Raw genomic sequence first — 13,703 nt, 5'->3', positions numbered from 1 at the left:
TAATATCAAAACATCAAATTAGCAATTCAGCACAAAGCAGGAACAAATCCAGCTAAGAAGCTACACCGATGCGGGAACTCTTAGTCTACAGGTGGTAAGTTCCAGTCTAGGGAGAAGGGGTGAGAGCCCTCTTGAGAACTATGCAGAATTCCAGGATGCAGCTTACATGGATTAGGACCCATTTCTAGAGGGGCATTGTGCTACTAGGCTCAGCAAGTGGGCAGAGTATGGAAAAGGAAGCATGCAGACGCTCCCTTTGGTGAACATGGGGACTTGAGAACATAAGCAGTTCTGTGACGTAGGGGCTGGCTGTGCATTAGCGGTGCATGCAGGCTCTGAGCTATATGGCGGCCAAGGAGGCTTAGGGATAAACAGCATAGTCATTTTGGAGTCTAGCGAGGCTGGATTTCTGGACTCTAAGAATGGGAACATGATGTACATCCAAACCCAAATGGATAAGGAAGGCTTTCACATGTTCCCCCCAGATTGGCTCTGGACTGAGGCCCCAGGTAGAGGCGAGCAGTGAAATACCTTTGAGAAAGTGGGAACAAATGGAGAAACAAAGTCATGAGTAGTGACAGGGTACAATGGCTCATGCCTGTAATCCCAGTACTTTGAGAGCCGAGGTGGGCGGATCACTTGAGCCCAGGAGTTTGAGACCATCCTGGGCAACATGGCGAAAACCCATCTCTGCAAAAAAATATAAAAAGTTACCTCAGTGTGGTAGCATTTATTCACCTGTAGTCCCAGTTACTCAGGAGGCTGAGGTAGAAGAAATCACCTGAGCCTCAGAGGTTGAGGCTGCAGTGAGCAGATATCACACCACTGCACTCCAGTCTGGACTTTAAAGTGAGAACCCATCTCAAAAAATAAAAAAGAAAAAGAAAAAGAAAAGTCATGGGTAGCATATAGGAGTCCTCATGAGTTGTCCTCAACCTACCATTAAAATCTTATTTCTTTTTGCCCCCATATCCTATCTATCCCTTGGCCAAACTAAACTACGGATGTTCTCTAAGCACTCTCTCATTTTCTAACTTCTTTTCCATTTTCTATTACTATTTCTGCCTTACTCCTACAGTATTGGCTTGACAAAATTTTTCCAGTTCTACAAGGCTGACTTCAAATTTCACGTCTTCATAAAGCCTTTCTGGATTCAACATATACATTCACACTTGAATGGACACTGAATTCTTCCTTCTCTGAATTAGCACGTAATTCTCTCTGGGCTTTCTGATCTCACTTAATATTCTATTCTATGATGGAGTTATTTGCATATGCCAAATTGATAGTTTACATACAGCTGACACAGCACTTGCTAGGAGCAGTGCAGCATGCCTCCTATTTGCTGCCACTTGATAACATCCTTCCCACCAGCACGGGTTGTTTGTCCTGCAAGGATTTAGAGACCCATCAGGTGACTCGGGGCCACATTGTGAGAGCCAAATCCATGTGAATTAATTCAGTATTCATTCTATTGCTGTTTCTTTGATTCCTGTCTCTCGCATGCATTCCTTGGTTAGGGAATGGGGGTAGTTTCTCTGATTTTTTGACCCTTGACCCTTCTTTCCTGATCTCAATGCTGCATGACTGTTCTTTCTAATGGGTGTTGTAGGGTTTGCTTTGCTGCCTCCCACAGTTTCCTCCCTTCCTCCACATTAACCTGCACTTTCTGGGTAATGGCGCAGTCACCAGCAGCACTCAAGCTCTCAGGCCTGTTTGCATCACTCCTCTCTTCTTGCCATGCTCCCAGTGGGACTTCGCCGGAATTAGCCAAGTAGGAGCTCAGAGGTGAGGCTCCACACAAGCAAAACTGAAGCGAGAACTGATTCAGCTGGACAGTTCAGGCCCTCAATCTTCATGTCCAATGAAAAAGCAATTACGTGGGCCAAAAGTGTAAACTGGTTATCTGAAATCCCAAATCTGTTGGACTACTGAGGAATTCTTTTATATATACATGAAGCTATTAGAACAAAATCACTTGGTCAATATCTTTTTCATATATTACATGCCAAGGTTATGGAAATACATCAAATTGAAAAGAACAAACTACTGACTGCATATTTTTACAGTCTTTGGGAAAATGTAGAGCAACATTTTCGTATAACCAGACAGCAAAATATCTGAAGTAGAAATACTTGTAGATAGCTAGATGGCTATATATAATTATGTTCACATATAAAGTGGCTACTGGATTATTGGAGTGGCCAGAGATGGAGGGGAGGTGGTCTGAATAAGGGAGGTAAGCTTTAAGTAATTTTTAAAGTGAAGCATCTAGCATTTTAGAATCAAAACTTGAAACTCTCAATTTATACATAAAAAACTGAGGCACAAAAAAATAGGGGTGGGTCACACAGCAAATGACAGAGCAAGATTTCACATACAGTCTTATAAATTCTAAGAAAGGTGGAATTTTACATGCAGTTCATTAGAAAAGCATTCAGAGGCAAAAGTAAAAGAATTCCTACAGGAATTATACAAGTTTCAGTTCACAGGTAAGGCTACTTGCCCACAGCCAAAAATCAGATGGCAGTGACAATTAACTAGATAATTCAGAACCAAATTTTTTACCTCTTGCAGAATTTGTATGAATGCAAATGGCATTTTGCTCTTTGGAAGTGTCCAAATTCATTAGATGATGATCAGGCAAAGAAGGAAACCATGGATAGATGCTCTCCTTAAGAACAAGCAACCAAGTTGTAATCAAAGGTGGGGACAATTCAAAAGAGGAGACTTGACTAATGGAAGCCCCTATAATTCCCACCATTTTAGCACTAATTTCACCATTCCATATTAGCCTATTTATTTCTCTGTATCCACCACTGGGCTATAAGGTGCATGACAGCAGGGATGGAGCCTGCCTTTGTTGCAGTTTGCATGGCATGTGGTAAAACTCAGCAAACACTGGATCAATGAACTGAATGACCTAAATGAATTTGGTTTGGTATTTGAGATGAGAATCTAGGAGTGACTATAGAGGTGGCTCTCAGTGAGGCACACATTAGATAGAAGAGAGGAGGTATAAATGCTACGTCCTTGCTGTAATTAATCTAGAGATGTGATATGAGCACTTAAAGAAGAAAAGGTTAGATCAAGAGGGATACACAGCAAATAAAAAAAAGAAAACAACAACGATCAGTTAGACTCAAAGAAAGGGCTCCATGTGGACCCTGGCCATGGGGCCAAAGCTAACCAAGCCACAGACTGGCCCCAACCATCATCATGAAGTTTGGTCCTAAGGCTAAGCTCTACTCAGCAAAGTATTGGCCAGAGCAGCTGTAATCAGTGCATAACCAGTGTGTAACCAGCTGTAATCAGTGTAACTATTAACCATCAAGGAGGGGTCCCAAGTATCAAGCCTAAGGTATAAGCATGAAACTATAAAATAAGAAGAAACCTGTCTCCCCCTAAAAATGAACTTTGGTTCATACCTCACACTATATACAAGATTAACTCAAAGATTATAGACCTAAATGTAAAATCTAAAAGAATAAAACTTTTAGAAGAAAACATGAGAGAAAATTTTTTTGATCTTGGATTATGCAAAAAATTTCTTAGATATGACACCACATGCACTATCCATTAAAAAATTGATAAGTTGGACTTAATCAAAATGAAAAATGTCTGCCCATCAAAAGATACAGCTAAAAGAATGAAAAAACGAACTACGGACTGGGTGAAAATCTTTGCAGAGCACATGTCTGATAAACATTTGTATCCAGAACATATAAAGAACTCCTAAAACTCAAGGTGATACAAATTAAAGCTATAATGAGATACAACTATTTACCTATGAGAATTATTAAAATTAAAAAGACTGACAATAGCAAGTTTTGGGGAGAATATGGGGGAACTGGAACTCTCAAACATTGCGGGTGGAAATATAATATAGTGCAACCATTTTGGAAAAAAACTTTAGCAGCTTCTTGAAAAAGTGAAGCATTTCTCTAGCATATGATCCAGCCATTGCACTCCTGAATATTTATTCAAAAGAAATATACACCCATACAAATATTTGTGTGCCAACGTTCATAATAGTTTTATTTTTCATAGGCCAAAACAAGACAGTCCAAAACAAGACAATCCAAATTTCCATTCACAAGGGAAGTGATAAAGCACAATATGAATGAATCTCAAAATAATTATGAGATGCCAGATGAAACTGAATAGACACTGTATGATTCTATTTATAAAAAGTCTAAAATATGCTAACTAGTTGATAGTGGCAGAAATTAGATTGGTGGTTTTGTGGATTTGGGATCTGGGGAAGGACAACAGGGGATTATGAAGGGACATGAGAAAACTTTGGGCTGATGCACATGTTCACTATACTGATCATGATGCTGGTTTCATGGGTATAGATGTATATAGGTAAAAACTCATCAAATTATACCCTTTAAATATGCATAGTTTATTATTGTGTTAATTGTATGTCAATAAAACATTTTTTAAAGTGAGACAGCTGCAGAACCTACAAGCTGGAAATGGCTAGAAATAGAAGGCAAAAATGTTGAGATGGCAGAGTTCAGAATATGAGCTGCAAGGCAAAAAGGTGTTGGCAATGGTTTTTGCTGATGAGTTCAGTAGATACCAGAGCAGCATGGCCTGCTAGCCAGGTCAAGATAGACAGAAATGATAGAAAGATAGAAAAGGGGTAGACTGGCATCAGACTTGAGTCCTGAAGACCAGGGAAACATAGAGGAAATTTGGAAAAGAATAATGAATCCACATAGAAGCATATTTTTGTTTTATTTTATTCGAGTATTTTACATACATGTAGGTAGGTATCTACTATTATAGTATTTAGATTTAGAACAAAATAAAGTTTTAAATCCATGCAAGATACCAAAATCATACTGCAAAAAAATGGGAGATCCATGTCAGAAATGTAAATTTCCAATCCTTGTATGTCAAGCAGTGGCTGATTTCACCATGTAACCTAGTGGCATCTCAACCCTCTAGGTATGTTTAGAGAGAGAAAAACATTGCTCCAAATTCTTCCTTGAGCTATTGTACAAAAGAGAGAGAGATCAACAAAGAAACAAGAGATCCTCCAAAATAGGCAACAACTGTATCTTGGGGGAAAAGGGGTGGGCCAAAGAGAAAATATACTTAGGCCATGTCAATCTCAGAAAGGTAAGAGCAAAGAAGCCAAAGAACTTGACAACAACAAGCTACTGATCAGCTTAGAAAGTGATAAGTGAGGACACTGACAGTGAGAACAACTTAATTATAATCTAAATGACTAGTCTCACTAGAGACACCTCAGAAGCACTTATGGACAGACAGTATGATAGCCAAGTTTCCTCTCTCTGGTCCTTCATTCAACAATATTCAAAGAGTAACTAAGATGTGTCAACTAAGTTCTAAGCTCTAGGGACACTGTGGAGCAAAGATGGACCCAGACCTTGGTCTCATATCACTAACAGTCTAGGGAGGCAAATAAATAAATGACTACATCTATAATCATAAACTGTGGTAAAGACTCCACAGGAATTCACCTGGGATATCTGTAAACATTGGTAGTCAACAGTAGGATGTGATAGGGAAGTGACTGAAGCATGGTCAGAACCACTCAGGAAGCGAAGACAGGAAGAACATCAGAAAGTCCAGGATGGAGCTCTGAGGACTGCAACCTCGGATATCCAGGCTGAGGAAGGCACGGCTGCCGAAAACAGCGAAGGAGAGGCAAAGGTCAACAGTGATGAACGCAGCTCAGAAGCCAAATCAAGGGAGCTCTAAAATATCAGCTGATTTTGCTACATAAGAGTCACTAATGAAATCCTCAAGAACTGTTTTGGTCAAATTGATGAGGGTAAAACCTGACAAGAAAGGAGAGAGAGCAGAAATTGGAAGGGAGGTTGAGAGGGCTGCTTTGGGGTTTGTTGTTGTATGCTTAGTCTTGTTTTTGAATGAAGAATCTTAAGCAGATTTTAAATATGAAAGAGAAAAATAAAAATTGACAGGAGAATTGACAAACTAATTCTAAAATTTATATGGAGAGGCAAAAGACCCAGAATAGCCAACACGATAGTAAAGAACAGTCAGAGAACTGACACTGCCTGACTTCAACACTTATCATAAAGCTGTAGTAATCAAGACGTTGGCATAAGCCTGGACAAACAGATCAATGGAACAGAACACAAAGCCTAAAACAGACCCAGATAGATAGATAGATAGATAGATAGATAGATAGATAGATAGATAGATAGATAGATAGTCAATGGATCTTTGACAAAGGAGCAAAGACAAGAAAATAAAGTCTTTGCAACAAATGTTGCTAGGACAACTCTCAACAGCCACATAACAAACAAAAAAAAATCTAGACACAGACTTCAGACCTCTCACAAAAATTTACTCAAAATGTATCATAGACTTAAGTGTAAAATGCAAAAGTATAAAACTTCTAGAAGATAACACAGGGGAAAATTTAGATGACCTTCAGTATGACAATAACATTTTAGATACAATACCAAGCGCACAATCCATGAAAGAAATAATTGATAAACTGGACTTCATTAAAATTAAAAAGTTATCTGCAAGAGACACTGTCAAGAGAATGAGAGATGAGCCACAGACTTGGAGAAAATATTTGCAGAAGGCATATGATAAAGGACTGTTTTCCAAAATAGACGAAGTACTCTTAAAACTCAACAATGAGAAAATACATAGCCCAATTAAAAAGTAGGCTAAAGATCTGAACAGATAGCTTACCAGAGAAGATATACAGATAAATATAAGCATATGAAGAGATGCTCCACATCATGTCATTAGAGAGTACACATTAAAACAACACTGAGATCCCACTACACACCCATGAGCATGGCCAAAACCCAGAACACTGACAACACCAAACACGGGCAAAGATGTGGAGGAACAGGAACTCTCATTCATTCCTGATAGGAATACAAAGTGGTACAGTCTTTTGGAAACACTGGCAGTTTGATACAAAACTAAATATAATCTTATTACACAATCCAGCCATTGCACTCATTAGTATTTACCCAAATGAGTTAAAACTTTTGTACACACAGAAATCTACACACAAATGTTTATAGTAACTTCATTCACAATTTCCAAAACTTGAAAGCAACCATGATGTCCATCAGTAGGTGAATGGATAAACTGTGTTCTACCCAGACAATGAAATGTTATTCATTGCTAAAAGGAAATGCTCTATTAAGCCAAGAAAAAGCTTGGAGGAAACTTAAATGCATACTACTAAGTGAAAGAAACCAATCTGTAAAGGCTATTGTATAATTCCAATTACAGGCCATTCTGCAAAAGGAAAAACTATGGAGATAGTAAAAGATCAGTGATTTCCAGGGGTTGGGGAAGGGAGGGATGAATATGTAGAGCAAAGAAGATTTGGGGGGCAGTGAAACTACTCTGTATGATACTATAGTGGTGGATACATGTAACTATACATTTGTCCAAATCCATGGAATGTCCAACACCAAGAGTGGACCTTACTGTAAACTATGGACTTTGGGTGATCATGATGTGTCAACATCAGTTCATCAATTGTAACAAATGTGCCATTCTGGTGGAAGATGGTGATAATGGGGGATGCTGTCCATGTGTGGGGGAACAGGGTTCATAAAAATTCTCTGTGGCTTCCATTCAAATTTTCTGTGACCTTAAAACTGCTCTAAAAAATAAAGTCTATTAAAAAAAGAAAAATTGAGGCTTGGCGTGGTAGCTCACAACTGTAATCCCAACACTTTGGGAGGCTGAGGCGGGTGGATCACCTGAGGTCAAGAGATCAAGACCAGCCTGGCCAACATGGTGAAACCCCAGCTCTACAAAAATACAAAAATTAGCCAGACATGATGGCGGGTGGCTGTAATCCCAGCAACTCGGGAGGCTGCGGCGGGAGAATTGCTTGAACCCAGGAGGCAGAGGTTCCAGTGAGCTGAGATTGCACCATTGCACTCCAGCCTGGGCAACAGAGCGAGACTCCATCTCAAAAAAAAAATTGATAAGTAATAAATAAAAAAGAAAAATTGAAAGGAGGGGTCAAATACAAAATAGAGAGAAGGGGCTCTGTCAAATTCCTGGAAAATAGAGGCAAATCGAATCGTAAGCACCCAGGAAGAGACTGGATTTAAAGAACAGATAGAATTTCTATTTTAACAAGTGAGAAGGAGGACATGGTTGATAAAGATGTAGGCATATTCATATATTTGATAGCAGGAAGATGGTGAGTAGTTCCTGTGTGAAATTTCAAGAATTCTCTCCCTAACAGTGCGCTAGAGATCAGCTCCGCAACCTTCAATATTTAAGAGAAAAGACCCACCCATGAGTGTATGAAAACACCAATATCTGCTCTCCAGGGCCATGGGAATGAAGTTCCAAACTAAATATAATCTAAATTACTATTCTAACAAGAGACTTAGCCTTTCCCAGGTAGGAAGTGAGGCAAATGTGCCGGCCTCAAGAGTATTATTTTGTGAAATAGGGCATTTATGGCTTCAGTAATTGGAAGTTATTGAAGGCTTGGGAAAAGGATGTAAAGGTGTTTAAATGGTTTATTCTAGAGAGATGTGTGTGTGTGTGTGTGTGTGTGCACGCACATGCATGAGTATTTGTAGGTTTCAACAAATGCAAATCTAAATAGCCTTTGCCAGAAAAGAAGTATTTTAATTATCAGACATTACAGAGCTATCATTTTTACAACTGTCATTTAACAACATAGGAGTCAAACTGTACTTGATGGCCAGTGAGATGCTGAAAGTGAGGACATCACTCTTTCAGCTCATAAGATGACCATTTGATGCATTCATGCCTTCCACAGGCAATCTTTAAGCTCTGCTGCCTTCTCCAAGGCTTGCTCCCTCTCATTAATACACACTCACATGCACATATAATCTATGATTGGCCACCTTTGTGCATAAATGGAGTACAAGCTATTTAATAAATCTTTTACTTTCTTTTCCCTAGTCTCCAACAACCTATTATAATTATTTCTTAACGGGTTAGCTTCCCACTTTACCATCTGCCTCTGAATATATGTTGGAGAAGACCCATTGTCTCACTAACATATTTTTATCCTGTTGAGTTTCACCATTTCTTCTTCCAATTATCCTAATAAATATTTCTGATCTTTTTCTCGCTTCTAATCTGTTTCACATTTCTGGACTTTAGGCTCATGTCTCATTAGGGTGGTGTTATCTTAGAATGGTGAGATGCCCTGTAAGAATTAGGCATCAACATAGGAAAATATAATACATTGCAAGGCTGTTCTCCATGGGGGTGATGAACTGAGTCCCTGCAACAGGTATCTGAAAATACAGATTCTGAATCTTGAGTGAACAGAAGAATAGAGGAATTGTTAAAATGGTGATTCCTAGGCCCCGCCATGGATATTCCTTCCTATAATATGGAAGATATGAAGAAAAGCCAGCTTTCTAGCAGGCATTCTGAAATATTCTGACATAGGCTGTTCTTGGGCCACACTCAGAAAAATTTCTCAACATAAATGCAAGTACCTACCAACATTGCAGGAATCCTCAGATTTCTGCTTTAGAAAATTAAGACTAAGAGTTAAGGCAGCTTCAAGGTTAGTAAACTTCGGCAATTCCACAATGCCCCCAAGGACCTGGGTTTCTTCCATCTCTCAACTCCGCCACGTTGGGTGTACTGGCATTGTCCTAACCCAACTCCCCTTATGGTTGCCTGGTGGCCACACAGTGGCAGCCATCCAGAAATGACACTCCAGAATAAACCATCTTTTTCTTTTGCTCCTTCTAAAAACCAAGGAATCCTTTCCCAAGTGCACAGATAGTAGTTGAGCAGAACCGCCCTCACACATTTCACCATCCTGAGCTGGGTCACGTTTCCATCCCTAAATGAGTGGATGGCATGAGAATTTGGACTATTCTGATTGGTTCAACTGGTCAGGAGCTGGGTCACATGGAGAGAGGGCAGCAAACAACTAAACAGTACAGAGAGGAAGAAAGTTGGGAAGTCACTAAGGAAGCAACCCTGAATGGTCATACAATATTTTATTTTTCGTCCTAAGCATTCTTACTGCTCCTATGAAGTCCTCAAAGGCACTTCAGAGTAAAACTAAAGCTCACTGAGCTGTAGTATATGCTAGTGACAACAGTACTGAGTACTCAAGTTTACCAGGTATAGAATGATACCACCATGTTAGGGTTAAGGCATGGAACTCCCTTACACACACACACTCATACCTTAGCAGTAAAAATTCTATTCTAAGTAGAGGAGAGAAAATTAAAAAGGAAATAGATCACCATGACCAAGTAGGATTTACCCTAGGTGTGCAAGGCTGGTTCAACATTCAAAAATCAGTTAACATAATCCATCACATCGACGAGCTAAAGAAGAAAAACCATATAATTATATCAATCTATGCAGAGAAACCATTTGACTAAGCCTAACACTCTTGTAATAAAATTCCCAGCAAACTAGAAATAGAGGGAAACTTCTTTACTTTGATAAAAAAAAAAAATCTACAAAACTCCGACAGCGAACATCATCCTTAACGGGGAAAAATTAGAAGTTTTCCCACTAAGGTCAGGAATGAGACAAGCATACCCATTCTCACCACTCCCTTTCAACACTAGAAGTTCTAGCTAATGCAACAAAACAAGAAAATGGAATAAAATGTATATCGATTTGGAAATAAGAAAATAGAATAAAAAGTATAACGATTTGGAAATAAGAAAATTGAATAAAAGGTATACTGATTTGAAAGAAACAAATGAAACTATCTTTGTTAGCCGATGACATGATAGTCCATGGAGAAAATGCAAATGAATCGACAGAAATCTAGATGACCTTGTGTACGGCAGCAACATTTCAGACCGGTTTGAATTCCAACTTCTCCACTTCCTTATGTTACCTCTAAAACCTTGGGCAGATAATATGACATCTGAGTTTTAGCTTACTTACGTGGAAGAAGGATTAGCAATACTTACCCGTTTCACTGGAGCGTAATGTCCTCCAGGTTTATCCATCTTGCCACACATGACAGAATATCCTTTTTAAGGCTGAAAAATAATTCATTGTATATATACATATACATATATATATATATATGTATATATATATATCACATTTTCTGTATCCATTCATCTGCCAGTAGGCATTTCAGTTCTTTCCACATCTTGGCTATTGTGAATAATGTTGCAATGAACCTGGGAGTACTGATATCTCTGCGAGATTCTGATTTCAATTCTTCTGGATAAATACCCAGAAGTGGGACTGCTGGGTCATATGGTAGTTCTAGTTCTCATTTTTCAAGGATCCTTTGTATTGTTTTCCATAGTGGCTGAATCATTTCGCATTTCTACCAACTGTGTACAGGCTCCCAACTTCTCCACAATCTGGCCAACACTTGTCTTTTGTTTCAGGTTTTGTTTTAATAGCCATTCTGACAGGTGTGTGTGGATAGCTCATCGTGGTTTTGGTTTACAGTTCCCTGATGACTAGTTAATGACATTGAAGCTGTGAGGCTATAATAAATAATCCAGCTGCAGAGGGACAAATACTGCATAATTCCAGCCAGGCACAGAGAGGAGTAGTAAACAGGTAGCTGCTAACCACAGTTCTCAAGTTTTAGGCAAGCAGAATGAGTAGGCTGCAGAGACCTGCTGCACAACATTCTACCCAGAATTAATACTGTATTGGACTCCTAAAAATTTTGTTAACAGGGTGGATGTCGTGTTAAGTATCCTTACGTACAATGAAAGTTTTATAAAGTACAAGTGAATGTAAAAAAGTCAACGTGGACTGCAGTTATCAAAGAGGAATTTTGGAAGGGCCAGAAAACGGCTTGCATACGGCCTTGAATAAGTAGTTAAAGATTTGAAAAATAGCACCTCCAGGGAGACCGGCTTCAGGCACCAGGTGCAGCTTCTGCACAACGTACAGATAGCAGTTGGGTCCAGAATTGGTGAGTTCTATGGTCTCACGGAAACTGCAAAGTCTCACCATGAGTGTCACAGTTCTACAAGGTGGTGTGTCCGGAGTTCGTTCCTTCAGCTGTTCAGAAGTGTGTGGAGTTTCTTCCTTCTGGTGGGCTCGTGATCTCACTGACTTCAGGAGTGAAGTTGAAGACCTTCACAGTGAGTATTACAGCTCACATACATACAGCAGCACAGACCCAAACACTAAGCAGCAACATTAATTGTTAAGAGCTTCAAACAAAACAAAAAAACAAAAAAAAAAAACCACACACCCCCCACAACTTATAAACTGACCTGACCAGATAACCACTGCAGGCCCAGGTAACCTGCTTTTATTCCCTTCTTTGGCCCCACCCACATCCTACTGATTGGTCCATTTTACAGAGAGTTGATTGGTCCATTTTACAGAATACTGATTGGTCCGTTTTGACAGAGTGCTGATTGGTGCATTTACAAACCTTTAGCTAGACACAGAGTACTGATTGGTGCGTTTACAACCCTTAGCTAGACACAAAAGTTCTCTTAAGTCCTCTACCCGATTAGCTAGACACAGAGCGCTGATTGGTGTGTTTACAAACCTTTAGCTAGACACAGAGTGCTGATTGGTGCGTTTACAATCCTTTAGTTAGATAGAAAAGTTCTCCAAGTCCCTACCAGTCCCAGAAGCCCAGCCGGCTTCACGTCTCATTGGCATGCTCGGCTGGACTTTTAGGCACCTAGCCCGGGCACTTTGGCAGCCCAGAGGGAGCTCGTCCCAGACAATCAAGAGGAAAAGAGGAAGCGAGAAAGAGATCGAGACCTGCTCTCGTGGACAAATGATCCCGGGAAGAGGGAACGGCGGCCCACGCACGGGATTCAGCCTCCGATCAAGCCCAGCAGGCGCCTGCCGGCCGCGCCGAGTGCCGGGCTTGCCGAACCGCTGCTCACCTAGAATCCACGCCCGCCCTCGAGCGCCGGGCGCGCAGCCCCGGCACACACCACCCCACGCCCCGTGCCTGTCTTCTTCACACTTCCCCGCGAACAGAGGGAGCCGGCTGGGCCTCTGCCAGCCCCAGAGAGGGGCCTTCATAGTGCAGCAGAGGGCTGAAGGGCTCCTCGAGCGCGGCCAGAGAGGACGCCGAAGCGGAGGAGGCGCCCAGAGCGAGCGAGTGCTGCTATCACGTTGTCACCTCTCACAGTGATAACAAGGAATGGGCTGTATTTCGGGATGGAATAACTGTCTTACTTGAGATATGCAATGTCATATATCTTCAGGCAGATTAGGGAAAGCCATGAACAGCAGTCAGAAGAATTTAAATAAAAGTGCCTTGGCTAGGCGCAGTGGCTAACACCTGTAATCCCAGCACTTTGGGAGCCCGAGGCGGGCAGATCACCTTAGGTCAGGAGTTCAAGACCAGCCTGGCCAATATGGGGAAACCCTGTCTCTACTAAAAATACAAAAATTAGCCCGGCGTGGTGGCACATAACTGTAACCCCAGCTACTCGGGAGGCTGAGGCAGGAGAATCGCTGGAACCCGGGAGGCGGAGCCTGCAGTGAGCCAAGATTGCGCCATGCACTCCAACCTGGGCGTCGCAGCGAGACTCTGTCTCTAAATAAATAAAGTGCCTTGAGCTGCTCTAGCTAAAACGTTCCTGAACCAGGTGAAGGTAGAACCTAGAAAACAAACTAGAAGACAATTACAGATCATTCAATTCAACACATTTTATTAGCACCTCCTCAGTGCCCAGCACTTTGGTGGGAGCTATAGAGACTACAACAAATACTAAGAG

At 40.8% G+C, this 13,703-nt stretch overlaps 1 long non-coding RNA gene across 3 annotated transcripts in view; it reads right to left on the bottom strand.

The window, feature by feature from the left end:
* The window catches only part of LOC105374911 (uncharacterized), a 43,091-nt gene extending 30,850 nt beyond the window's left edge, over positions 1–12,241 (bottom strand). For all 3 annotated transcript variants that reach the window (XR_007059438.1, XR_926444.3, XR_926445.3), the window contains exons 1-2: positions 11,959–12,241; positions 10,944–11,015 (exon numbers count right to left, since the gene is read on the bottom strand). This is a non-coding gene — a long non-coding RNA (uncharacterized LOC105374911). The remainder of the gene's footprint in view (positions 1–10,943; positions 11,016–11,958) is intronic.
* Between the last annotated feature and the right edge of the window lie 1,462 nt (positions 12,242–13,703).

This window comes from Homo sapiens, chromosome 6 (assembly GCF_000001405.40).
Source record: "Homo sapiens chromosome 6, GRCh38.p14 Primary Assembly".
Taxonomy (NCBI): Eukaryota; Metazoa; Chordata; class Mammalia; order Primates; family Hominidae; genus Homo; species Homo sapiens.
Note: the sequence above shows the minus strand (reverse complement) of the source record. Positions and strands in the feature narration are given on the sequence as shown.